The sequence below is a fragment of the Homo sapiens genome, chromosome 7 (genome assembly GCF_000001405.40).
Source record: "Homo sapiens chromosome 7, GRCh38.p14 Primary Assembly".
NCBI classification, from domain to species: Eukaryota; Metazoa; Chordata; class Mammalia; order Primates; family Hominidae; genus Homo; species Homo sapiens.
Window position 1 is genome coordinate 129,091,692 of NC_000007.14, and position 27,543 is coordinate 129,119,234.

Here is a 27,543-nt window from a genome sequence, read left to right on the forward strand (position 1 = left end):
AAGCGGGACTCCGCCTGGCTAGGGGAACAGACGCCAGGGGCTGACTGTAACAAAGACCGGAAGCTCTTCTTGGATCCAAGGCAGGTGCAAGGAGGGAAAAAAGGTATCACCAGAGGGACGCTCTTCATTATGACTTTTTCTCTTTTTCCTCACCCTTTCTGCTTCCCAAACCCAGTTCTCCCACTTATCGTTGCCCACTATTAAAAACTGCTTTGTAATGAGAAAACCTGCAGTTTACAAGGTGTTTTCACAAACTTCATCTTATGTAAGCCACTCTCACTGCCTTTTCTCACTTCTCTTCCTCTTCCAGAATGAGAAGAAAAAAATGGAAAAAACAACAAACAAACAACAACAACAAAAAAAAACTGAAAAAAAATTACAAATGCCTTTCTAGTATTTTGCAAAAGGGTAGGCCTGCCCACACCCTTGGTTTAGGTTCCAGGACCAGTTATCTTGGAGCTGAGATCATAACCTTCACCCCTGTAAGGACCCCTTAGCTTTGTGGTCACAAATAGAGTCTTAAACTTGCCAGGGCTTGGTCACAAGAAGAGAGAGCAAAACATATGACCAAAGCGGCACAAGGCCGCTAAACAATTATTTTTGTTTCATCAACTGTTTTTTTTTTTTTAAGAGACAGGGGTCTCAGTGTGTTGCCCAGGCTGGACTTGAACTCCTGGGCTCAAGCAGTCCTCCCACCTCGGCCTCCCAAGTAGCTAGGATTACAGGTACACACTAGTGTACCTAGTGTACAGTAGTGTAACTAGTCTGGCTAGTTAATTAACTTTTAATTTAATTTAATTTTGAGATGGAGTCTCCCTCTGTCGCCCAGGCTGGAGTGCAGTGGCTCGATCTTGGCTCACTACAACCTCCACCTTCCGGGTTCAAGCGATTCTCCTGCCTCAGCCTCTCGAGTAGCTGAGACTACAGGGGAGTGCCACCACGCCCGGCTAATTTTTTGTGTTTTTAGTAGAGACGGGGTTTCACCATGTTAGCCAGGATAGTCTCGATCTCCTGACCTTGTGATCCACCAGCCTCAGCCTCCCAAAGTGCTGGGATTACAGGCATGAGCCACCGCGCCAGGCCTATTTTTTTGAGATGGAGTCTCACTCTGTCACCCAGGTGGGAGTGCAGTGGTGCTGATCTTGGCTCACTGCAAACGCTGCCTCCAGGGTTCAAGCGATTCTCTTGCCTCAGCCTCCCGAATAGCTGGGATTACAGGCATGTACCACCACACCCAGCTAGTTAATTAACTTAAAAAAATAATAATCAAATTATGGGCTGGCCGTGGTGGTTCAGGCCTGTAATCCCAGCACTTTGGGAGGCTGAGGCGAGTGGATCACTTGAGATCAGGAGTCCCAGACCAGCCCGGCCAACATGGTGAAACCCCATCTCTACCAAAAACACAAAAATTAGCCGGGCATGGTGGCGTGCACCTGTAGTCCCAGCTACTCAAGAGGCTGAGGCAGGAAAATCGCTTAAATCCGGGAGGCAGAGGTTGCACCAGGTAGAGATTGCACCACTGCACTCCAGACTGGGTGACAGAGCAAGACTCCATCTAAAAAAAAAAATTAATCAAATTATAACAAAAATTGAAAAATGCACAAATCATAAATGTACCATTCAAATAATTTTCACAGAGTACACCTGTGTAACTAAGCCTCCAGATCAAAAAAGAGAACATTACCAGCATTCCCTAATGCCCCCCTTCATGTTCCTCCCAGTCACAAATCACCCCCACTGTAACTCCTATTATGATTTTTAACATCATAGATTAATTTTATCTGCTTTTGAATTTCATATAGAAGGAATCACACAATATGTACTCACATATATGCCTTTTGCTGAGCACTGTGAATTAATCTATGTTGTTGCACACCATTCTTTCCTATTGTGCTAGTATGCCATTGTAGAAATATACCACAATGTATCCATTTTATTCATGGTAGACATTTTGGATATTTATAGTTTAGGGCTATTATAAGAGTGCTTCTTTGAACATTCTTGTATTCAAGAAAAAACAGCATTTTCTAGAGTGATCAAAGGGATTAATGGGACATTTATATACCTAGAAACATGATTTATATATATGGATATAAGAAAACAACAGGCATTATGAATCCTATTTATTTATTGAACTTCCATGTTTATTGCAGCACTATTGATGATAGCCAAGATTAAAAATCAACCTAAAAATGTCCATAATCAAATGAATGGGTAAAGAAAATGTGGTGTATATACACAATGGAGTATTATTCAGCCATAAGAAAAGAAAATCTTGTCATTTTCAATCATGTGGATGAACCTGGAGGACATTATGGTAATTGAAATAAGCCAGACACAGAAAAACAAATACCTCATAATCTCACTCATATGTGGAATCTAAACAAGTTGACCTCATTGAATCAGAGAGCAGAATGGTGGTTACCAGAGGCTGGGGTTTTACGGGGAGGTTTGGGGAGATGTCTGCCAAAGCACACCTAATTACAGTTAGATAGGAGGAATAAGCTCAAGAGATCTGTCACACAGCATGATGACTGTAGTTAATGATGATATATTCTATCTTTGAAGAATGCTAAGACACTTGATGTTAAGTGCTGTCACTACAAAAATCATAACTCTGTGAGGTAAAGCACTTAATTGGCTAGAATTAAGCATTCAACAATGTATATATACTTCAAAACATCATGTTGTAAATGATAAATGCATAAAATTTTATCTGACAATTTAAAAAGTAAATAAATTATATATCAATATCTATCTACCTATATATAGCTACATATATATATATATATATATATATATATATATATTTTTTTTTTTTTTTTTTTTTCCTTGAGACAGGGTCTCAAGGTCACCCAGGTTGGAGTGCAGAGGTGAAATTATGGCTCACTGCAGTCTCTACCTCCTGTACTCAAGCGATCCTCCCACCTCAGTCTCCCAGCTAGGTGGAACTAGAGGCGTGCACCATCATGCCTGGCTGTTCGGAGGGTGTGTGTAGAGACAGGATCTCACTATGTTGTACCGGCTGGGTCTTGAATTCCTGGGCTCAAGCATTCCCCTCACCTCGGCCTCCCAAAGTGCTGGGATTAGAGGTGTGAGCCACTATGCCTGGCCAAAAAAAGTAAATAAAACTTTGGAACACATTATGAAAGGATAGCAGTAGGCTGGGCATGGTTGGCTCACACCTGTAATCCCAGCTCTTTGGGAGGCCGAGGTGGATGGATCACCTGAGGTCAGGAGTTCGAGACCAGCCTGGTCAACATGGCGAAACCCTGTCTCTACTAAAAGGACAAAAATTAGCCGGGCGTGGTGGCACGTGCCTGTTATCCCAGCTACTCAGGAGGCTGAGGCAGGGGAATCGCTTGAACCCTGCAGGTGGAGGTTGCAGTGAGCCGAGATCATGCCATTGCACTCCAGCCTGGGCAACAGAGCGAGTCTCAGAAAAAAAAAAGAAAGGATATCTGTATTCCAAATACTGAGTCTGTGTCTTTGTCATAACCTTAGCTGAAATTATCAAAAATATATAGTTCTTGTGGTGTTTTTGTTGTTCCACTAGTTAGTCCTAAGCATACAAACTCTGATGATTACCAGCATGTTTAACACATGGCATACAACACGGAAGCCACTGAAGTGCTTTAGGACTTTGACTTTAACCTTGTGCACCTGGAGTTTCTAGTGCTGATGGTGATGGCGTGGAAGACACTACAGAGACAGGAAGTGGTAACAGTTCCATTTCTGGCCGCTCTGAACACAGAATAAAGTTTGCATCCAAAATCACTGAAGAAATGTTTCAAACCACAAGCTTCCGCAGACCAGGCACAGTGGCTCACACCGGTAATTCCAGCACTTTGGGAGGCTGAGGCGGGAGGATGGCTCAAGTCCAGGATTTTGAGACCAGCCTGGGCAACATAGTGAGACCCCATTGCTACAAAACAAACAAAACAGAAACAAAAGCTTCCACAGTCTCTGAGAATTTTCTAGAGAGAATGACCAAGGACTTGGCTATAGTTAGGTAACTAAGAATAAAAACTGTAGACTGTGAACTGCACCCATGAAAATAAAGGAAGAGATCATATATGAAAGTGAGAAATAGGCCAGGCACAGTGGCTCACGCTTGAAATCCCAACACTATGGGAGGCCAAGGCAGGAGGATCACTTGAGACCGGGAGTTCAAGACCAGCCTAGGCAACATTGCAAAACCCTGTCTCTCATGCATCACTTACATAACCTAAAAGTAAATCACAAATGGCCTGTCCACCTAGATTTTCTTCATGCCTCTTACATTTCAGAGTTCTTAATCTTCCGTGGAAAAGTGTATATGAATGATGTCCACCCAAACTTTTCCTGTCTTTCCTTAAATGTAAATTCTGAAGGCTACAGCTTCCATATCTTTTCAGTATCACTTTTTGGAATGAATCTTTTTTTTTTTTTTTCCAAGACGGAGTCTTGCTCTGTTGCCCAGTCTGGAGTGTAGTGGTGCAATCTCCACTCACTGCAACCTCCGTCTCCTAGGTTGAAGCAATTCTCCTGCCTCAGCCTCCTGAGTAGCAGGATTACAGGTGTGCACCACCATACCCAGCTGATTTTTGTATTTTTAGTACAGATTTTCACCATGTTGGCCAGGCTGGTCTTGAACTGGCTGGTCTCAAACTCCTGACCTCGTGATCTGCCCGCCTTAGCCTCCCAAAGTGCTGGGATTACAGGTGTGAGCCACCGCGCCCGGCCTGGAATGAATTTTTATGCCCTGCTCTGGCAAAAGGTCTTGAGTGAAATGAGAAGACATAACTGGGTGTTTGGCTCCTGGCTCCTGTCTCTTCACATTCCAGGGCTCTTTCCTTTGCTCCAGGCAGGTGATCACGTCTGACTTAGATATAGCAAAACCCAGGGAGGCCAGGTTTCTGTAGTTCTCTAACAACACATCCCTATACAAATTCTGCTGTGCAGGGTCCAGGCATCCCCACTCCTCTGGAGAGAATACAGCCACATCCCTGAAAGTCAACAGACTCACTTCCCAGCTTCTAGGGTGTCCTGGTGTTCTCCCTACGGATCTCCAAGTACCTACAGATCACAAGTCTGCCGATCACAGCCCATTCTTGTATTTAGTTTTTGGGAAATATATGCACACATTTCTGTTGGCTTCATAACTAAGAGTGAAATTGCTGGGTCATAGGATTGCTTTCACTGATACTGCCAGCTTTCCAAAGTATTGTACTAATTTATATTCCCATCAGCAATATATGAGAGTTTCATGTTCTTTACAACAATTGGTATGTTATTTTTCATTTAGTTATCCTGGTATGTGAGTAATAGTATTTATTGCCTTGTTCTTTTAATTTACATTTCCCTAATAACTAAAGCACCTTTCCAGGAACTTATCAGCCATTTGGTTTGGATATCTTCTTTTGTCAAGTGCCTATTTAAGGCTTTTAGGCAAACAATTTAAAGTCTGAATTTATCCACCATGAATGTGATAAGAGCATTGTTAAGAATTCAGTTTAATCCCAAACAAGCAAGTTCTATTCATGAGCGACATAGAGAGATAATCCTTACACCTGTACGGTATTTGCATGATCTCATTTGGCTAATACAGCAAGTACTCTGGAAAGTAGAAGACTGAGGTTATGTTTTACCTAGAAGGAAGCCATCTTGGAGGGGTTGTGACATGCTCGAAATAAGTGGCAGAACCAAGATTCTCAACGTTTTGCAACTTCCTGACCAAATACTCATTTCACCATAATAGTTCTCAACTCCATTGAATTCCTCCACCTTTATAATAAATATTTTATATCATCCCCTTTACTACAATGAAATTAAATTTATAATTTCAAAAGATAATCAAGCCAAGCACGGTGGTGCCCACCTGTAGTCCCAGCTACTCAGGAGGCTGAGGCAAAAGGATCTGCTTGAGTCCCTGGAGTTTGAGGCTGTAATATGCCATGCTCATACCTGTGAATAGCCACTGCCCTCCAGCCTGGGCAACATAGTGAGACCCTATCTCTAAAAAAAAAAAAAAAGATAATCCATATATTGCCTCTATGATATAAAGGAGAAATAAAAGGATAGTAATTTATAATAAATAATTACTGGCCCGGCACAGTAACTCATGCCTGTAATCCCAGAACTTTGGGAGGCCAAGGTGGGAAGATCGCTTGAGCCCAGGAGTTCAAGAACAGCCTGAGCAACATAGGAAGACCCTGTCTCTACAAAAATTTTAAAAAAAATAATAGCCAGATGTGGTGGCACGTGCCGATGGTCCCAGTTACTTGGGAGGCTGAAGCGGGAGGATCATTCAGGATTGCTTGGGCCTGGGAGGTTGAGGCTGCAGTGAGCCGTGATCACACCATTGCACTCCAGCGTGGGCAACAGAGCGAGACTCTGTCTCAAACTAAAATAATAATTACAATGATTACAAATAGAATAATTAATAACTAAATAATTATAAGGAAAACAATAATAAATTCTGGGCACAGCTGTATTAGAACATGTAATGGAATGCTAGATACTTTCCTCTACAAACAGACTGTCTCTGCTGTCCCTGACGTAATTTTCCACATTGGTGAACAGCTCTAGGTAAAACTGTGAATGAAACAAAGTACAATAATCTTTTATATGGTAGTTGTATTCCAGGGAAATTAACTGTGTTAATTTTTGACATGTTTTTTAAATCATTATCTGAGTTTTAGGCTCAGATAATTATGGACAGTTTTTCACCTACATGAATATCTGAGGATACATTCGAAAGCTGGACAAGTCTTTATTTTACAGGATTGTCACATTCATTGCAGAACAACATAGCAACCCTGGCCCCATGCCCCCTAAAGGGTGGTAGGGTCCCTCAATCATTGTGACAACCCACAGCTCCTTGAGGTGGTACTTGTCCTACTGACGACACTACACTACAAGCACTGTCCAGCATATTTCCAGCCTGAAATATGCAATGTAACCAAAAAGCCGAGGTTTGGCTGAGAAAGACCTGGGTTTGGCACTCAGTCATTCACTCTCAGTGAGACCCCGAGTAAGCCACTTCACATCTCTGAGCCTCGGTGTCCCAACTATGAGGCTGGCCTCTGCATTTTGTAGCAGCAGCAGCATTTACTATGTCTCACTGCACCTGCTGCAAGCTGCTTGGAGCAAGTCTCCGTCCTTCCCACTCCATCGCTTAGCTGCTGGTTCATGCACCACCCAGCCCTGCCCCATGTTGGCAACAATTTGCAAGGTAGACTAGTTAGTTACTCATGCACATAGTGCTTTTGATCTTCCCACTCCCTGTTGACAAATACGTTCAGCAGTAACATGGTAGATATTAGTATGAACTATCACTATCAGGAAAAAAAGTGTTAAAATGCATATCTATTGGCTCAGTAGAAAATACTCCTTAAGGCTTTAGCTGTTGAAAAAATATACTGTTTGACACTTTCTCAAGTCCAAATGCAGTAGCTCATCGTAACCAAAATCTTGGTAAATATAACACCTTCCCATTGGGATCCCAACTGCAGGCCTTGCTAGCACATGCCTTCTTGAAATGTGTGATAATTAACTGCTTGAAAAATAGAAATCAAATTAGTGAGTGATGTCACAGTGGATTCAAAAGTATGACTACAGCTTAAATTCAAAGGCACAGGGGTGCAGAATATGAACGTTTCATTGTTAAAGTAGAGTTTTTTTTTAAAAAAAAGTTGATAACATGAACTTACGCAAATATCAAATTAACATGCATCAAATATTTTATTCAACTCAATTAATAAAGGAACCAATAAGATGTTGAAACAAACTCTAATGAGAATTTTACCTACAGAGGTTTATATTCTCCACGGGACAAGGTTTTTTTGTTTGTTTGTTTTTTGAGACAAGCTCTCGCTCTGTCACCCAGGCTGGAGTGCAGTGGCATGATCTCAGCTCACTGCAGCCTCGACCTCCCGAGTTCAAGCAATTCTCCTGCCTCAGCATCCCAAGCAGCTGGGATTACAGGTGCCCGCCATCACACCCAGCTAATTTTTTTTGTATTTTTAGTAGAGACAGGGTTTCATCATGTTGGCCAGGCTGTTTTCGAACTCCTGACCTCAAGTGATCTGCCCACCTTAGCCTCCCAAAGTGCTAGGATTACAGGCGTGAGCCACCACGCCCTGCATTTTGTATTTTAATAGAGACAGGGTTTCACCATGTTGGCCAGGCTGGTCTCGAACTCCTGACCTCAGATGATCTGACTGCCTTGGCCTCCCAAAGTGCTGGGATTACAGCTGTGAGCCACTGTGCCTGGCTGCTTTTTCTACCTTCTAGAGGCTACTCACATTCCTTGGCTCATGGCCTATTCCTCCATTTCCAAAGCCAGTAATGGTTTTGGTTGTGTGCTTTTCACTTTGCATCACCTCAGGTTCTCTGCTTCCATGGTCACACCTTTGACTCTGACTCTCTGCCTCCCTCTTTCACTTATAAGGACCCCTGTAATTACTTTGGGCCTACCTGTATAATCAGGAACAATCTCCCCATCTCAAGATCCATGGGGCTGGGCGCAGTGGCTCACGCCTGTAATCTCAGCACTTTGGGAGGCTGAGGCGGATGGATCACTTGAGGTCAGGAGTTTGAGAGCAGCCTGGCCAACATGGTGAAACCCTGTCTCTACTAAAAATACAAAAATTAGCCGAGTGTGGTGGTGGGTGCCTGTAATCCCAGCTACTCGGGAGGCTCAGGCAGGAGAATCGCTTAAGCTCAGGAGTCGAATGCTGCAGTGAGCAGAGATCATGCCACTGCACTCCAGCCTGGGCGACAGAGCAAGATTCTGTCTCAAAAAAAAAAAAAAAATCTGTCGACCGCACAAGCTCCTATAGAGTAACATCATCCTTAGAGAATGTGTGAGACTACACCCTACAATCCACTGAAAGGACACCCAATAATCTCTTTTGCCCTTTTCCTAGTCTTTAACAGTTTTTCCTGGCAATGTCAAGGCTCATAGCAAGGGCGATTTTGCAAGACACAAGATCACGCAGCCCTGGGCCCATGGTGCCTGTGAACAACCAACCACCTGAGCAGGGAAGCAGCTGCCCCTTTCACTAGGACATGGTCACTTTGTCCCTACCCAGCCAACTTGGCTTGTTTCCCTTGGCCTCTGAGAGGGTTAGAGTTTTTCATCCCTGGTTACTGATTAATCATATTATATTCCCTTCCCTCCACCCTGGAGGGATGAAAACAGAGCAGAAACATTTAGTCTATAAACTGGGAAAGAGTTAGAAGGAGACAACGAGGGAAAAGAGACATACAAGTATTAATAGGACACGGACAAAGCCAAACCTTATCCACTTCATAATTTTGTGTATATCTGGCATTGTTCCAGGGCTGGGGCAGGAACAGAGAGTGGGGTGGAGATGTCTCTCCACACTGACCTCTTTCCTGAACCCATTTGGCTCTTGTGGAATAAGGGAGAGCCAGGACATCCCCTATAACAAATCCAAGATGGCTTCACCCTATTAAATGTGTGGACCTGGTGAAATGGAAGTAGCTAGCCACTCTTGATTAAGCCAACAATTTTCAAACTACTCCTGCTCAAAGCCCCATTTAATACTGACTTTCCCCACTGGTTAGTTACTCATCTCCTCCTTCCTGAGCAAATCCTCCTAAACAAATGGCAATTAACTAAGACATAATGAGGAGCTGCCTGATGGAGGCCAGAACATAGTTTCAGTCAAAGCCAGAGTAATTCATTCCTTCCCTTAGCAAACACCAATTGAGCCTCTGCTGAGTGCTAGGCACCAGACCGGCTCTGTGGGAAATAAAAATAAGCCCACTGTCCTGCCTTCAAGGAGCTCCCAGCCCAGTGGGTGGAGAGGTAAGGGTGAAATTGCATGTCCAAAAGCAAAGAGAGGGAAGAAGAGAATTTCAGAATGTTGGGAGAGCAGTAGAGAAAGCACAAAGATGTAGATACAAAGGGCTGTGTTCTTGGCTGGGAACTTCAGATAGAAAGAAGTGGCTGGAGCTAAGAGTGAATGGGAGGTGAGACTGCAGAAGGAGAGGAGGGCCAGGTTAATGTAAGTATGCCTTGAAACTGGGGTTCAATGAGTCCTTCATTTGCTAGGTGTTTGTTGAGTACTTCCTATGCACCCAATACTGAGTCGAGCCCTGCTAACATAAATACAACTGAATACGAAATGGCTCTACCCTCAATAAATCACAATCCAGTGAAGAGAAAGAGCTATGGAAATACTCTCAGTGGAGCAAGTTAAGTGAAAAAATAGATGTGCTTAAGTGCTAAGCGAACTCCGCCCACGGGAATAGCGAGAGGAAGGCAGGCCCCTTGGGAGGTTTTGCAAAGGAGCCATATAATTAGTAACATGCCTCTTGGCATGTTAGAAGTAGAAGACAAGAGGAATTAGGGGATGACAACTCATGATCCACTCCAAGGGTCTATGTTTATAGACACTCTAAAGACACAAAACTCATCATGTCCAGCTCAGTTGGGTAGGTGATGGCTCAGTACCCACTGCATCAAGACAATCTGAGGGCAGATTTCTTTTTTTTTTTTTTTTTTTTGTGATGGAGTTTCATTCTTGTTACCCAGGCTGGAGTGCAATGGCACGATCTCGGCTCACCGCAACTTCCGCCTCCTGGGTTCAAGTGATTCTCCTGCCTCAGCTTCCTGAGTTAGCTGGCATTACAGGTATGCACCACCAAACCCAGCTAATTTTGTATTTTTAGTAGAGACGGGGTTTCTCCATGTTGGTCAGGCTGGTCTTGAACTCCTGACCCCAGGTGATCCGCCCGCCTTGGCCTCTCAAAGTGCTGGGATTACAGGCGTGAGCCATTGTGCCCGAGCTGAGGGCAGATTTCAATCCTGCACACATTCCTTTCTTCCCTTCTGCTGCATATACTTGCTCCTGCATTACATGTGTTGGACTGGTTTCTCCCTGCCCTGTAGCTCTGCAATGAAGCCCAGGATCTGGTTTCTCCCAACTTTTGACCTTGGACTCACTGTCTGGCTGCAGTTCTTTAAACTGCTGATTCTATGAAAGGCCTTTGGGTCACGTCAGCTGCTGCTACCAGTTATTCAGTAACTAACTCACAAGCTCTGAGATTCCCAGTCAGGCGAGAAGGAAGAGCTTGCAGGGGCTCTGCATTCGTTCCGCTTGGCTAACTTGGTGTTGCAAAGAAACTTTCTCCTTCTAGAGGTGAATTCCAGCTTTTACAGTCAGAGGAGCCAAAGTTCTGAGCCTGCAGCGCCATTCCCATCCTCCCCCAGTGCAGGCCAAGTCCACAGTCTTCTTCCTCTTCCCCAACACTGCACCAAAGCCTCTGCTGTCTCATGCTAGCCTGCTTCGTTGGCATCATTTTTTGACCTTCCTGGCCTCATACTTTGCGGGCAAGGAAAATCATAGAATAATTTCTGTTTTCCTGACCTATTGAGAAACTCTGAAATGGTTTGTGCCCCTCATGTAGTCAGAGAGACCCTAAACAGAATCCATTCTGCTGTATTCCTCATGGGACCATTTGGAATACAACAGACCCCAGCAGGCATCAATCATCTGCCATTTCAGCTAAGGAAGGAGAGAGTGAGCCTCTCTTTCATGGCATTCGGTTTCCTGGCTCTGGATTTGACCTATGCGCAAACTTCCAGGGTGGCTTGAGCATAATGATGCTATCAACCAGCTCAGATGCCCTAGGAGGTGGCCTTACAGAAATGGTAGACTTGTGGTATGGCACAAATGTAGGCTGGCTACCTGTCTACACCTGCTCACCAGTCTGGCCAAGCCCTGAGACTGGCTGGGCCTGTCCACAGCACTGAGGCCCATGGGGACAACTATAGCTGTGTGTATGCCCATACAGTTAAGTGTCCTTTATGCTATGGGGTGGGACTTGCTGTGTGCCCCTCCTCCAATAACCTGCCAATTCCAATCATTCTGTACCTTCCTCTTTTTCTTCATGCTGGCCTTTTTCTCCCCCCAGCTTTTTTTGAATTTCAATTAGCAATAATCATGCCTTGGATAAACCTCATCGGCTACAATACTGCCACTGTGCAAAGCTCTGGCCTTTTTTTTTTTTTTCTGCAGGAAAGTATCCATGGGCCAAACCACAAAAGTTTTGAATCTTGAGCCAGTTCATCAACCAGGGCCAGTCCAATGAACCCAGACACAAACACACTCAGGCTTCTGGTTTTGGTGAATGTCAATGCCAGACACACTGTAGTGGGGATGAGGGGCGGAAAGGGGTTTGTCCCACATGAGACCCCATGGCAGCTGGCCGTGGAACTTGGGAAGCCATTGTCATTTTTATCACCCATTTGTCACAATAATACTGAGCCTCACCTGTTTCAAGATCTCAGGGTGGTGCCCTGGAACCTCAAGTGGTGGCATCCTCCTCAGCCACCTGCTGGCATCACTTACAGGCCACCTCCATCCTCCCAGTCACACTTCACTTTCTGACCCTGGCCTTCATCCAGTCCAGTCCAGGTCACTGGCCAAACACATGTGTTTTTAGGGTAAATAATTGCTTATGAGTGACCATCTTCCATCAGCCTCATGCCAACTGCTGCTCGTATTTATACACACTGTCCAGCACTGGGTAAAGCACTGAGTAGGCTCTTTATATGGGGTATCTATTTTCATTATCACTGTGCTATGTGGTGCTTCCTAAATACAAAGTTTTTGAGTTCAGAACCATCTATCTTTCAGTTCTCAGTGTGGCATTCCAACTGCAATGTAATATCTTGCCATGGCCTCAAATTCAACATAATTTTTTTTTTGGTTTTTTGTTTTGTTGTTGTTTTTTTTTTTTTGAGATGGAGTCTTGCTCTGTCGCCCAGGCTGGAGTGCAGTGGCACGATCTCGGCTCACTGCAAGCTCCGCTTCCTGGGTTCACACCATTCTCCTGCCTCCGCCTCCCGAGTAGCTGGGACTACAGGCGCCCGCCACCACGCCCTGCTAATTTTTTTGTATTTTTAGTAGAGATGGGGTTTCACCGTGTTAGCCAGGATGGTCTCGATCTCCTGACCTCGTGATCCGCCTGCCTCGGCCTCCCAAAGTGCTGGGATTGCAAGCGTGAGCCACCATGCCCGGCCTTTGTTTTTGTTTTGAGACAGTCTTGCTTTGTCGCCCAGGCTGGAGTGCAATGGCCCAATCTTGGCTCACTGCAACCTCCACCTCCCAGGTTCAAGCAATTCTTGTGCCTTAGCCTCCTGAGTAGCTGGGATTACAGACGTGCACCACCGCCACACCCGGATAATTTTTGTATTTTTAGTAGAGACGGGGTTTCGCCATGTTGGGCTGGCTGGTCTCGAACTCCTGGCCTCAAGTGATCCACCCACCTTGGCCTCCCAAAGTGCTGGGATTACAGGCATGAGCCACCATGCCTGGCCCAAAATCAAAATAATTAAAAGTGAATTCATTCCCTCCAAATCAGGTTTTTCCTTCCATCTCCTCTATTTCTGTTACCAATTTCTCAGTCCCTGGGATTAAAAAACCTGAAAATCTTCCCTCTAAATCCTCTCTAACAATTATCTCTCATATTTAATCAGTTTTCTGATACTTTAGACTAGATTCTTTTTGAATGCTTCCCTAACCCAGTAGTTCTCAACACTGGTTGTCCATTAGAATTATTAGAGGAGCCATTTTAAAATAAATATGTGGGTCATGCCTGGGGCCACCTCCCTCAGACAGCTGTGTAGGTTATTCACTGCACTAGGGTGAGGGGGTTGTTCCAGCTCACGCTCTCCTTGCTAAGCCTTTGGCCCTAGCATGGAACTACCTTTGACTGGAGAAAAGGAAGCTTTTTTGAACTCACACAAAGGCACTGTAAGGGCTAAGAAAGGTCTGGCCATTTCCCTGAAATTCTGATTCAGCAGACGTAGGCATTTATATTTTAAATAGTTCAGTGAGATATATAAACTTTACTCTTAAATAGTGGTGTTCCTTTCTCCCTCTTTTTGTGATATTATTGTTACACATATTGCTTCTTTGTATCATAAATCCAACAGTATGGTGTTATAATTATTACTTTTTAATTTTTATTTAATTTTTTTTTAATTGAGACAAGGTCTCACTATTTTGCCCAGGCTGGTCTCGAACTCCTGGCCCATCTTGACCTCCCAAAGTCCTGGGATTACAGGCATAAGCCACTGTACCTGGCTATAATTATTACTTTGAAAGAACCTGAGAGAAGAAGACCAAGTACATATTTATAGAGTTAGTTATATTAATCTTATTTACCCTTCCTGTTCCTCTTGATTTCTTCCTATGGATTTCAGTTCCTATCTGCTGTTATTTCCTCACTCCCATATAGCTTTGCTCCCACCTGCCTCCTTTGTGCTGTTATTGTCAAGTATATTACATTTTTACATGTCATCGTCCTAAAAATATAATTCCATACATGTTATTTTACACAGCTGCTTTTTATGTGAACTCTAACTCGAAAACCATAAAATTCACCCCTCGATGATTATTGGTGACTAATGATGAGCATCTTTTCGTTTGCTTTTTGGCCATTTTTATCTCTTATTTGGATAAATGTCTATTTAGATCTTTTGCCCATTTTTAAATTGGGTTATTTGTCTTCTTATTGTTGAGTTGTAGGGGTTACTTTTTTTTTAATCTGTCTTTGTTTTTTGTTTTTCTGTTTTTTGGTTTTTGTTTTTGAGACAGAGTCTCACTCTGTCACCCAGGTTAGAGTACAGTGGCACCATCTCGGCTCACTGCAGCCTCCACATCTCAGGTTCAAGAGATCCTCCCACCTCAGCCTCCTGAGTAGCTGGGACCGCAAATGTGCACCACCATGCCCAGCTAATTTTTTGTATTTTTTTTCTTTATCTTTTTCTTTTTTTGGAGAGCTGGAGTTTCACCATGTTGCCCAGGTTGGTCTTGAGCTCCTGACCTCAGGTGACCTGGCTACCGTGGCCTCCCAAAGTCCTAGGATTACAGGAATGAGCCACCATGCCCGACCTAAGAGTTACTTTTTGTATTTTCTTGATATAAGTCATTTATCAGATAAGTGATTTGGAAATGTTTTCTCCGATTCTGTGGCTTGTCCTTTCACTTTCTTAACGGTGTCCCTTACAGCATAATTTTTTTTTTTTTTTTGAAACGGAGTCTCACTCTATCGCCCAGGCTGGAGTGCAGTGGCGAGATCTCGGCTCACTGCAACCTCTGCAGCCCAGGTTCAAGCGATTCTTCTGCCTCAGCCTCCAGAGTAGCTGGGATTACAGGGGCCTGCCACCACACCCAGGTAAATTTTGTATTTTTAGTAGAGACGGGGTTTCACCATCTTGGCCAGGCTGGTCTTGAACTCTTGACCTCATGATCCACCCACCTCAGCCTCCCAAAGTGCTGGGATTACAGGCATGAGCCACTGTGCCCAGACTACAAAATTTTTTAAATAAAAAATACAGTTTTAATTTTGATAAATTCCAGTTTATCTGTTTTTTCTTTATTTGCTTTTGCTTCTGGTGTCATGTTTAAGAAACCATTGCCTAATCCAAGGTCACGAAGGTTTACCTATATGGTTATGGTTTTCTTATGAAAGTTTTATAATTTTAGTTCTTTTTTTTTTTTTTTTTTTTTGAGATGGAGTTTTACTCTTGTTGCCCAGGCTGGAGTGCAATGGCACGATCTCAGCTCACCACAACCTCCGTCTCCCAGGTTCAAGCAATTCTCCTGCCTCAGCCTCCCAAGTAGCTGGGATTACAGGCACACACCACCACGCCTGGCTAATTTTGTATTTTTAGTAGAGACGGTGTTTCTTCATGTTGGTCAGGCTGGTCTCGAACTCCCAACCTCAGGTGATCTGCCCATCTTGGCCTCCCAAAGTGTTGGGATTACAGGCATGAGCCATGACACCCGGCTGATTTTAATTCTTACACTTAGGTATTGTAAACCATGTTAAGTGAATTTTTGTGTGTGATGTAAGGTATGGGTCCAACTCCCTTCTTTTACATGCAGATACCCAGTTGTCTCAGCATCATTTTTGAAAAGACAGTTCTTCCCTTGTTGAATGGACTTGACATTTGTACTTATTTCCTAGGGCCACTGTAGCAGATGACCACAAACTGGGTGCCTTAAAACAACAGAACTTTTTTACATGTCACAGTTCAAGAGGACAGAAGTTCAAAATCAAGATGTCATCAGGGTTGGTTCTTCTGGAGGCCCCAAAGGGTAAACCATCCTACCCCTCTCTCATGCTTCTCATAGCTGCTGGCATCCCTGGGCATTTGTTGGCTTGTAGATGCAGGACTCCAATCTCTGCCTTCGTCACGTGGCATCCTCCCTGTGTCTGTCTCTGTGTGTCCTTTCTTCTAGGACACCTGTCATATTGGAGTCAGGACCCATCCTGATCTCAGGACCTCATCCTAACTTAACTAATTATATCTTCAAAGACACTGTTTCCAAACCGGGCTACATTCTGAGGTTCCGCATGGACACGAATTTTGAGGTGACACTGTTCAACCTAGTACAGTCTACTCACTGGTACCCAAAATTCACACACACCCCATGTGAACAATACGTTCACCCTACCCCAAGACCCCCAAAAGTCTTAACCCTTCCAGTGTCAACTCTAAATCCCAAATCTCATTTAAATATCAACTCGAGAAGTCCCAAATCTCCTCATCTAAATTATCTAAAAAGGTATGGGCGAGACTCTGGGAATGATCCATCTTTCAACAAAATTCCTCTCTGTTCATAGACCTGTTAAACCTAGAAAACAAGTGATCTCTTTTCTAAATGCAATGGCGGAACAGGCATAGGATGAATATAGTTCCATTCCAAAAGGGAAATAAATAGAAGGAAAAGAGGGGGTTATTGGTCTAAAGCAACTTTGCAATCTAACAGGGCCAATTCCATTAGGTTTCAAAGCCTGAGAGTAATCCTCTGTGGCTCCATGCTGTGTCTTCTGGGCCTCTATGATAGCCCTGGCTTTACACTTTCTGGCCTCTGCATCTATGGCTCCGCCTTCAGAGTCATTCTTCCTCCATTTTATTCCATCTCTGTCTCATTCAGTCCAGACTGGCTGTGTTTGTGTTGGTATAAAATTCTCAGAAACCCTGCCTTCTGTGATGTCAAGGGAATCCACGCCACTAGACACGAGGGTTTGTCACAGATTCTTCCTGGAGAGTTACATGCCTACCTTCTGCTGAGATGGTTGGATCCATGAGTCACAGGCCTGATCTCCTTAGCAAATGGTTGCTGAGCCACAGCCTTGATGCTTTATCCAGAGCACACTTTCTCATCTTTTGCAAAGTGAATAAACAGAGCATTCCATGAAGTTCTGATTACTTTTCGCTTAACAGTTCCTTCCTCTGTTTCTTCCCTTTTGCATTTTACTATCAGCAACAAGGAGAAAGTAGGCCAAGTCTTGGATGTGAAGATTACTATTTTCCATCAACTTTGGGAAGTTTTCAGCCATTATTTCTTTTTTTAATTTTTTATTTTAAGTTCCAGGGTACATGTGCAGGCTGTGCAGGTTTGTTACATAGGTAAACGTGTGCCATGGTGGTTTGCTGCACCTATCAACCCGTCACCTAGGTATTAAGCTCCACATGCATTAGCTATTTTTCCTGATGGTCTCCCTCCCCCGTCCCCTGCTGACAGGCCCCAATGTGTGGTGTTCCCCTCCGTGTGTCAATGTATTCAATTATTTCTTTGAATATTTTTTTCCATCTCTTTCTCTCTCCTCTCCTTCTGGTACTACTATTATGTGTATGTTGGTGCATCTAATGGTGTCTCACTCTTCTTTGATGTTCTGTTCATTTTTATCCACTGTTTTCCTCTTTTTTTTTTTTTTTTTTTTTTTTTTGAGATGGAGTCTCACTCTGCTGCCCAGGCTGGAGTGCAGTGGCGCGATCTCAGCTCACTGCAACCTCCGCCTTCCGGGTTCATGCCATTCTCCTGCCTCAGCCTCCCAAGTAGCTGGGATTACAGGCACCCACCACCATGCCTGGCTAATTTTGTTTTTGTATTTTTAGTAGAGATGGGATTTCACAGTGTTAGCCAGGATGGTCTCGATCTCCTGACCTCATGATCCGCCTGCCTTGGCCTCCCAAAGTGCTGGGATTACAGGTGTGAGCCACCGCACCCGGCCCATTGTTTTCCTCTTATGATTGTATAACCTCTATTGATCCGCTTTAAATTCACTGATTCTGATTATTTATTTATTTATTTATTTATTTACTGAGACAGGGTCTCACTCTGTTGCCCAGGCTGGAGTGCAGTGGTGCAGTCACAGCTCACTGCAGCCTTGACCTCCTGGACTCAAATGATCTTCCCACTTCAACCTCCCAAGTAGCTGGGACTACAGGTATGCACCACCATGCCAAGCTAATTTTTTTTATTTTTTGTAAAAATGGGGTCATCTCACTATGTTACCCAGGCTGGTCTTGAACTTAAGTGATCCTCCTGCCTTGGCTTCCCAAAATACTGGGATTACAGGCATAAGCCAATGCACCTGGCCTGCTTCTTATTTTTGACAGAACAAATCTATCGTTAAGTCCCTGTAGTGAATTTTTCACTGTGTTCATAGTACTTGATATTCTCTATTTGATGAGACATTGTCATCCTATCTCCCTTTACCTCTTTTTGCCCCATTGTTAGCCAGGGCCTAGAAGCATGGAGGTTCCCTCTCTGATGGCTCATGATAGGGTGCAGTCTTGGGTGTGCCCAGAATGTTCTCGACTACTAGGGAAGAGCATGATTTTAGTTCCAAGCCTGGCTTCCTAGGAGTTGCCCTGGTCAGAGTAGTTTATTGTTCAGTCAGTGTTTATCCACAGGTTCTGTTTAAGGCCTTTGTGCCAATGAGGCTTCTGCCCTTTGTTAAGGGGCCTGTGTGTGGCTTAGAGAATATTTTCAAGTCTGCCCCATGCAACCAGAAACATGTGCACACCCTTTCCTGAGCCCTAGAGCTGAATGTGCTTGCAGGGTACTTTGATTTCTCTTTCCCTGGCTCTCTATATGAAATTTCTAGCTGCTCTGCCATTTTGCTGTGTCATGGAGCTACCAGCCTCCTCTTAACTGCTCTCTTTCAAGGTCTCTGTTGTTTTCCACAACACCCTTAGGCAGTGTTCTCCAGGCTCTGTTCCAATACAGCCTGTGTCCTCAAGTAAAGCTCTAAAGCTCTTTGTCATTATGGGCTGCTTTTCTTCCTGGGAGAACCCCAGGACACTGCATCAGAGCTGGGGGTGGGGCCCCATGTTGCCTGTAGTGACACCTGGCTCTGTGAGTGGGCAGTGGAGGAGGCAGGAAAAGCCACTGATCCTCTCTGCTTGCCCCTCCTGGTGTAGAACCTCCTCCACTCTACAAACTGGCTGGGAGGAGAAAGGTGAAGTGATCTGCTCCCAGTATTCTCAGCCTGCCATGCCTGGAACAGAATTTCTCTCCTACAGTTGGGGTTGGGTGAGGGGAGGGACCAGATCCTGCCTGGAATACAGCTTCTACAGCAGAGGACTAGGGAGGGGATTAGAAACCCTGGTGGCCTGCCCCTACCTGGGTAAAAACCTTCTTACCAAGAATAGAGCTCTCAGGTAGAGTTTCCATAACAGGGAGGGGGGAGGAGGAGCAAAAGAATAGGTCATGCCTTAAATGCCATAGACAGATTGTTATTACTAAGATTTAGTAAGAACTTCAATAATATTTCTCCATTTGCTCTATGCCCTTAGAACAATTTTCAGATTTTATATAATTGTGTTCTGTTTTACAACTTAAAAAAAAATTTTTTTTTTAATTGTCTTTGAGACAGGGTCTCCCTCTGCCACCCAGGCTGGACTGCAGTAGCACCATCACAGCTCGCTACAGCCTCTGTTTCCCAGGCTCAAATGATCCTCCCATCTCAGCCTCCTGAGTAGCTGGGGGCACAGGTGTGCACCACCATGCCTGGCTAATTTTTTTTTTTATTGTTTTGGTAGAGACATGGTCTCACCAAGTTGCCTAGGCTGGTCTTGAACTCCTGGGTTCAAGCAATCCTCTCACCTCAGCCTCCTGAAGTGCTGGGATTACAGGTGTAAGCCACTATGCCCTGCTTATTTATTCTTTAATATTCTTCACTCATCAGGGAAGCCTCCTTTTGGGTGCACAGCCCATGATGGCAAGCATGCCTCTGAACCCACTAGCATTTGCTATGTGTGCTTTGCCCAGTTAGCTACCTTCTGTGCATGGGTGTTGCCTCCCTGGCTGGGCCATGAGATGTTCTCATGCTTTTTTATATCTCCTGTACCCCAGATACTCAGTAAATATCTGTTAAATGATATGAAACACAAAGCAGTATGAACAACAGAGGAAAAGCTTGTACCTGACATCTACGTAACTAATCTCAGTGGTACATCCACCCAATATACTATTCTTTTTTATAACAGTTTTGTTGAGATATAATTCATATACCATACAATTAACCCATTTAAAGTATAAAGGCAATGGCTTTAATAAATACATGGAATTTCACAATTACCATAATTCTAGAACATTTTCATCACACCATTTAGTAATTATTCCCCATCCTACCCCAAGCTCCCACCCCTAGGAAAATCTACTTTCTGTTTTTATGTGGATTTGCCTATTCTACATTTCATTTTATACAAATGGAATCACACACTATGTGCTTCTTTGTGACTGGCTTCTTTCACTTAGCGTGATGTATTCAAGGCTCATCCAACTTGTAGCATGTTTTGGTAATTCCTTTGTTTATTTATTTTTATTTTATTTTATTTATTTATGTTTATTTATTTATTTATTTTGAGACAGAGCTCTGTCATCCAGGCTGGAGTGCAGTGGTGTGATCTCGGCTCACTGCAACTTCCACCTCCCAGGTTCAAGCAATTCTCCTGCCTCAGGCTCCCAAGTAGCTGGGATTGCAGGTGTGCACCACCATACCAGGCTAATGTTTGTATTTTAGTAGAAACGGGGTTTCACCATGTTGGCCAGGCTGGTCTCGAACTCCTGACCTCAGGTGATCTGCCCGCCTCAGCCTCCCAAAGTGCTGGGATTATAGGCGTGAGTCACCATGCCCAGCCTATTTTATTTATTTTTGGAGGGGATGAGGGTCTTGCTTTGTGGCCCAGGCTGGAGCACAATGTGATCATAGCTCACCATAGCCTCAAACTCCTGGGCTCAAGTGATCTTCCTGCTTCAGCCTCCCGAGTAGCTGGGACTACAGGCACACATCACTATGCCAGGCTAATTTTTATTTTTTGTAAAGACAGGGTCTTGCTTTGTTGCCCAGGCAGGTCTAGAACACCTGGCTTCAAGGGATCCTCCCACCTCAACCTCAAAAAGTGCTGGGATTACGAGTGTCAGCCACCACACCCAGCTATTCCTTTCTTTTTATTGCTGAATAGTATTTCATGATATATACATACCATATCTTATCTATTCATCAGTTGATGAACATTTGAGTTGTTTCCACCCTTTTTTGACTATTACGAATAATGATGCTATGGACATTCATGTGCAAGTGTTTATATGGATACGTTTTCACTTCTCTTGGAGATATACACAGGAGTGGAACTGCTGGGTTGTATGGTAACTCTATGATTAAGCTTTTGAGGAAATACTAGACTGTTTACCAAAGCAGCTGCACAATTTTACATTCCCACCAGCAGTATATGAAGGTTCCAGTTTCTCTACATTCTCACCAACACTTGTTACTTGCCTTTTTAATATAGCCATCCTGGTGGCAGTGAAGTACTAGTTCATTTTGGCTTTGATTTGCATTTCCTGGTGGCTAATGATGTTGAGCATCTTTTCATGTGCTCATTGGACATCTTCTTTGGAGAAATGTCTATTCAAATCCTTTCCCCATTTTTAAATTAGCCTGTTTGTCTTTTTATTACTTAGTTGTTAAAATACTTAATATATTCCAGATATAAGTCCCTTATCAGATATATGATTTGCACATTTCTGTCATCCTGTGGGTTATTTCACTTTCTTGACAGTGTCCTTTGAAGCACACAAGTTTTTAGTTTGATGACATCCAGTTCATCTAATACTTTGTTGTTTGTTGCTCTTCTTTATCCTTAAAAATTGTGGTTATGAAGATTGTACAGAGAAAGAAAATGCTTATGCTGAATGTGCTAATTTGTTAGAACATGATATATATCTAATTCAAACCAAAAAAATTGCTTTTTTTGAGACAGGGTCTTGCCCTGTCACCCAGCCCGGAGTACAGTGGTAGGATCATGGCTCGTTGCTGCCTTGACCTCCCAGGCTCAGGTGATCCTCCCACCTCAGCCTCCCCAGTAGGTGGGACTACAGACACACACCACCAGTCCTGGCTAATTTTTTGTATTTTTTTGTAGAGACAGGGTCTCGCCATGTTGCCCAGGCTGGTCTTGAACTCCTGGGTTTGAGTGATCTGCCGGTCTCGGCCTCCCAAAGTGCTAGGATTACAGATGTGAGACCCTGCACCTGGCCAAACAAATTTTAACAGAAAAAAAACTATTGCTCATAAATTCTGAGGAAGTTTGAACAACACTAATTCATGGAAGGCCAAGGACATAGACTTCAGAAAAGAGCTAGATTCATAATCTCTAATAGCACCAGGGTGCTGTCTCCAGCTCTCCCGTCACTTATTCTAGTAACATGGCCAGAAACACCATCCCTGGTAGCTCCAAGTTTACATCTTGCAATTCTGACACCATGGAAGGGTTGCTCATGTGGTTCATGTGTCCACATTCCTAGCAGAAGCAGATCTGCTGCCTGCCCCTTGCCCCTCACAGTACATGCCAACCCCCATCCCCAGCAAGACACCTTATATGCAAAGCTATTTGGCCGGGCACGGTGGCTCACGCCTGTAATCCCAACACTTTGGGAGGCTGAGGCAGGCAGATCACCTGAGGTTAGGAGTTCAGGACCAGCCTGGCCAACATGGCAAAACCCTATCTCTACTAAAAATACAAAAATTAGCTAGGCGTGGTGGCAGATGCCTGTGATCCTAGCTACTAGGGCGGCTGAGGCAGGAGAATAGTTTGAACCCAGGAGGTGGAGGCTGCAGTGAGCTGAGATCACACCACTTCATTCCAGGCTGGCAATAGAGCGAGGCCTCATCTCAGAAAAAAAAAAAAGAAAGAAAGAAAGAAAAGAAAAGTTATTTTCTGGAAAGATGTACAAGACTTAAAGTGGTCACTGGGGATAAGGGTGGAGGAGAGGGACTGTCACTTTTTATACTTTTTATTATGTGCATGAACTACTTAAAATTTTTTTTAAAACAAAGTGAATCTTTAATGTTTATAAGAAAAAATGTGTATAGGAGAAAAGATAGGAAAGAAATATTCCAAATGCTAGCAAGTGACAGATGTATTGACAATGAAGTCATGCGTGATTATTTTCTTTTTTCAATTCTTTCCCAAATTTTTTGGTAAAGTGATGATATAATTTTATACCAAAGATAACTTAAAAAAATAGAACCATGTAAAAGCTAAAGAAACCCTTCAGAGATGTTTTTGGAAAGAAAAATTTAAATGAAATAAGCAAATAAATACATATGCTCCTCCCAAATGTATCATTTTGGGAAAAATATCTGGATTTCCATACCTTGTTTTGCATAAAGCAGGGCTGACCCAGACTCCCTCTGTCCTTTTGGTGCTGGCGGTCGTGATTGCTGCTGGCAAGTATAGGAATCAGAGAGCTGAGCAAATAACATTTTCTGTCATCCATGCTGGCCCAAGTCTGTTTCTGGGGTAATAAGCTGGGAAACAGCAGTGAGGTTTTAGAAGCATAGAGATGATGATAAAGCTCCTTGATAAGAGAAGTGAAGTTAGGAACAAAGCCTGCTTGACTGCTCCAGTGTTGCTGAACATAGTCTACCTGAATCTATTCTACAGGAATCTACTCAGCCACAGACCTACCTGCAGGGATGACCTTGGATTGCTGTTAGCAGATTCCCTCAGCATCAGCCCTCATATGCCTCTTTCCTCCTTCGTTAGTAATCTCTTATGTAGTCCCCATAAGACTCCCAACCCCTATGAGGCTTACCCTTAATCTCTAAACTCTGGACTAACAAAGGTTTCTGGTGATTCCCTCTCCTGAGCACTTGCCATGGCTTTTACCAAATCCATATCAGGGAGCAGAAAGGGTGAGTTGATGACTGGGTAGAAGATGACTAAAGTGACCATATTTCTAACAAACAAGTTTAAGTGTGGACCAGGCAGAGCCAGGCAAGATGAATGAGGGACTGGAAGAAAGCCAGCTCTTTCCTTTCTCTCCAGCACCAAGACTCAGCCCCAGGCTGTGGGAGTAGGAATAAGATAGTTAAGAGTGGTATTGTTTTCCCTTGGGACTCTCCATTGCTTTTAGAATTCCAAGCTTAAGAGATATTGCCTTATATTATTTGTTTATTCATGTTATTACTTCAGCTTGGCCACCATATTTTATACACCAGTGCAAATTGTTTCATAGTTTGCCTATGGTTGTGTGTTAATGCCAGTACAGGCCATCAAAATCCAGAGCATCTCAACATTTGAGGATGTCCCAGGGCTGGGTCTGACCCTTCTCTTTTTTTTTTTTTTTTTTTTTTCCTGAGACAGAATTTCACTCTTGTTGACCCAGGCTGGAGTGCAATGGCACAATCTCAGCTCACTGCAATCTGTGCCTCCAGGGTTCAAGAGATTCTCCTGCCTCAGCCTCCCAAGTAGCTGGGATTACTGGAATTAATTAGCCACCACGCCTGGCTAATTTTGTATTTTTAGTAGAAAGAGGGTTTCTCCATGTTGGTCAGGTTGGTCTTGAACTCCCGACCTCAGGTGATTCACTCGCCTTGGCCTCCCAAAGTGCTGGGATTACAGGTGTGAGCCACTGCACCTGGCCAGTCTGACCCTTCTAACCCTTACATTCAAAGAATCAAGCTGACTTCCAAGATGGGAGAATTGAGGAATGTTCCTGTTCACAGACATTCTCAACCTTGTGTAAGAGAATAGGATGGCAATGAGAACACATGGACACAGGGAGGGGAACATCACACACCAGGGCCTGCCAGTGGGTGGGGGACAGGGGGAGGGATAGCATTAGGACAAATACCTAATGCATGCGGGGCTTAAAACCTAAATGATGGGTTGATGGGTGCAGCAAACCACCATGGCACATGTACACCTATGTAACAAACCTGCACGTTCTGCACATGTATCCAGAACTTAAAGTATAATAAATAATAATAATAATAATAATAATTTAAAAATAAAATAGGTGAGTGGCAAAGAGTACTGGCCTGGGACCAAATTCAGAGCTGGCAAACTCCTGGAATAGAAAGTTGTCCCCTTGTAATATACATCCAGAAGCTCCTGAGATTTTCAGCTGGTTTCCTGCTATTAACCTGAATTTGGTTTTACTTGATGGATTCTGGTCCCTTTCTCTGGTCCTGTTTTAAGCTTGGGCCATGATGTCCTGGGGCTTGAGGGTGAGGAGCAGGAGCCTCTGTAAGGGGAATAGGAATGGTGTGTGGAGGGGCACAGGGCGGGTAAATCCAGAGGAGTTTTCAGAGGGTGTCAAGATTCCACGTTCCAGTTTCAGGCCTGTACAGAGCTAGGAGCATCTGAGGCTGGGTAAGGATTTAAGGAAAAAGAGAGAAGATCCCAGAAACAAAACAGCAAAATAACATTATGAAAGCTGGGGGACTGGCAAATGCAATGTGACATTTTGTTCTTTTTTTTAAATTGACATATAATAATTGTATATATTCATGGGGTACATAGAGATGTTTTGATACATATAATATACAGTGATTAGATAAGGGTAATTTGCATATCCATCATCTCATTTACCATTTCTCTTTTTTCTTTTTGAATTCTGGTGTATGAAATCTATTAAATTACGATACATATAAAAAATTCATGAGACATTTCTCTTTTGTAATAAATAACGCAGTGGCCAATTATTTCTCATGAGCAGCTTTTTTGAGATAAGCTATCAAGTCCGCCCTTTCTCCCTTCTTCTTAATGCCGCCAAAGATCATTTTTGTTCCAGGTATCTAATTCTTTGGATTCTCCAAATACTCTATCAGTGTGTCCTCTCCCCAGGTGATGCCTTTGTTCTTACTGGTGTCTGTGTAGCAGAATCCAATGGCACCTGTCTTCCACCCAAAGAGACCATGGAGGTTAGGCTCAGTCTTGTGCTTGCCTCCCTTTTCCGTGGTGTGGCACTGGGCACACTTCTGAACACAAATATTCGTGCTTTTCTCAACATCACCCATATTTAATTCTCTCTTTTGTCACTGGCACTGTGAAGGTTCCTACTCAGAAACCAGATGTCCTGCTCTCTCATTTTTCATTTCTTTGTGTTAAGAACATTCTATATCCATTTTTTAGCTACTTTTTTTTTAGACGGAGTCTTGCTCTGTTGCCAAGGCACACTCTCACCTGACTGCAATATCTGCCTCCTGGGTTCAAGCAATCCTCCTGCCTCAGCCTCCCTAGTAGCTGGGATTACAGGTGCATGCCACCCCACCCAGCTAACTTTTGTATTTTCAGTAGAGATGGGGTTTCGTCATGTTGGCCAGGCTGGTCTCGAACTCCTGACCTCAAGTGATCCGCCTGCCTCGGCCTCCCAAAGTCCTGGGATTACAGGCATGGGCCACTGTGCCTGGCCCGTTTTAGCTATTTGAAGCTATATATTGTTACATCCAGTCATCCTACAGTGGTATAGAACAGGGGTCCCCAGCCCCTGAGCCATGGTCGCATAACAACGGTCTATGGCCTGTTAGGAACCGGGCCACACAGCAGGAGGTAAGCAACAGGCTACTGAGTGAAGCTTTATCTGTATTTACAGCTGCTCCCCATTGCTCACATTACGGCCTGACCTCCGCCTCCTGTCAGATCAATGGCAGCATTAGATTCTCACAGGAGTGCGAACCCTATTGTGAACTGCACATGCCAGGCTCCTTATGAGAATCTAATGCCTGATGATCTGTCACTGTCTCCCATCACCCCCAGATGGGACTGTCTAGTTGCAGGAAAACAAACTTAGGGCTCCCACTGATTCCACATTATGGTGAGTTGTACGATTATTTCATTACATATTAATATTACGATGTAATAATAATAGCAATAAAGTGCATAATAAATGTAATGCGCTTGAATCATCCTGAAACCATCCCCCACTCCCTGGTCTGTGGAAAAATTGTCTTCCATGAAACCAGTCCCTGGTGCCAAAAATGTTGGGGACCACTGGTATAGAACTCTAGAACTTATTCCTTCTATCTAGCTGTAATTTTGTATCATTTAATAAACATCTCTCTAACTCCCACTTCCCTCTGCCCTTCAAGCCTCTAGTATCCTCTGTTTTACTTTTTACTTTTATGAAGTCAACTTTTCTTAGCTTCCACAAAGGAGTGAGAACATGCAGTATTTAACTTTCTGTTCCTGGCTTAATTCACTTAACATAATGTGCTCCAATTCTATCCGCATTACTTCAAATAACTGGATTTCATTCTTTTTTTAATAGCCGAATAGTGTTCTATTGTGTACGTATACCACATTCTCTTTATCCATTCATCTGTTATTGAACACCTAGGTTGAGTCCATATTTTGGCTATTGTGAATAGTGATGCAATAAACATAGGGGCACAGATGTCTCTTTGATATACTGATTTCTTTCCCTT

General features: G+C 43.6%; 1 non-coding gene and 2 pseudogenes across 1 annotated transcript, besides 4 other annotated features; all 3 read right to left on the minus strand.

The window, feature by feature from the left end:
- Positions 1–1,336: 1,336 nt before the first annotated feature.
- LOC112267982 (zinc finger protein 195-like) lies at positions 1,337–11,292 on the minus strand (annotated as a pseudogene).
- Positions 3,541–3,590: an enhancer, noted in NCBI's record as "active region_26619". NCBI's record gives its function as "activates an Ori minimal core promoter by ATAC-STARR-seq in GM12878 lymphoblastoid cells {active_cell/tissue: GM12878}" and the evidence as "EXISTENCE:reporter gene assay evidence [ECO:0000049][PMID:35858748]".
- Positions 7,193–7,352: an enhancer, noted in NCBI's record as "active region_26620". NCBI's record gives its function as "activates an Ori minimal core promoter by ATAC-STARR-seq in GM12878 lymphoblastoid cells {active_cell/tissue: GM12878}" and the evidence as "EXISTENCE:reporter gene assay evidence [ECO:0000049][PMID:35858748]".
- A 571-nt stretch (positions 11,293–11,863) lies between the features above and the next one.
- LOC124901863 (U4 spliceosomal RNA) lies at positions 11,864–12,009 on the minus strand. The gene has a single exon (XR_007060688.1). It is a non-coding gene; the product is annotated as a U4 spliceosomal RNA (small nuclear RNA).
- Positions 18,839–19,502: an enhancer, noted in NCBI's record as "NANOG-H3K27ac hESC enhancer chr7:128750584-128751247 (GRCh37/hg19 assembly coordinates)". NCBI's record gives its function as "activates a minimal SCP1, AML or CMV promoter by ChIP-STARR-seq in naive and primed H9 embryonic stem cells {active_cell/tissue: H9 hESC(naive and primed)}" and the evidence as "EXISTENCE:reporter gene assay evidence [ECO:0000049][PMID:30033119]".
- Positions 19,231–19,280: a silencer, noted in NCBI's record as "silent region_18622". NCBI's record gives its function as "represses an Ori minimal core promoter by ATAC-STARR-seq in GM12878 lymphoblastoid cells {active_cell/tissue: GM12878}" and the evidence as "EXISTENCE:reporter gene assay evidence [ECO:0000049][PMID:35858748]".
- Positions 25,728–26,204, minus strand: CYCSP20 (CYCS pseudogene 20; annotated as a pseudogene).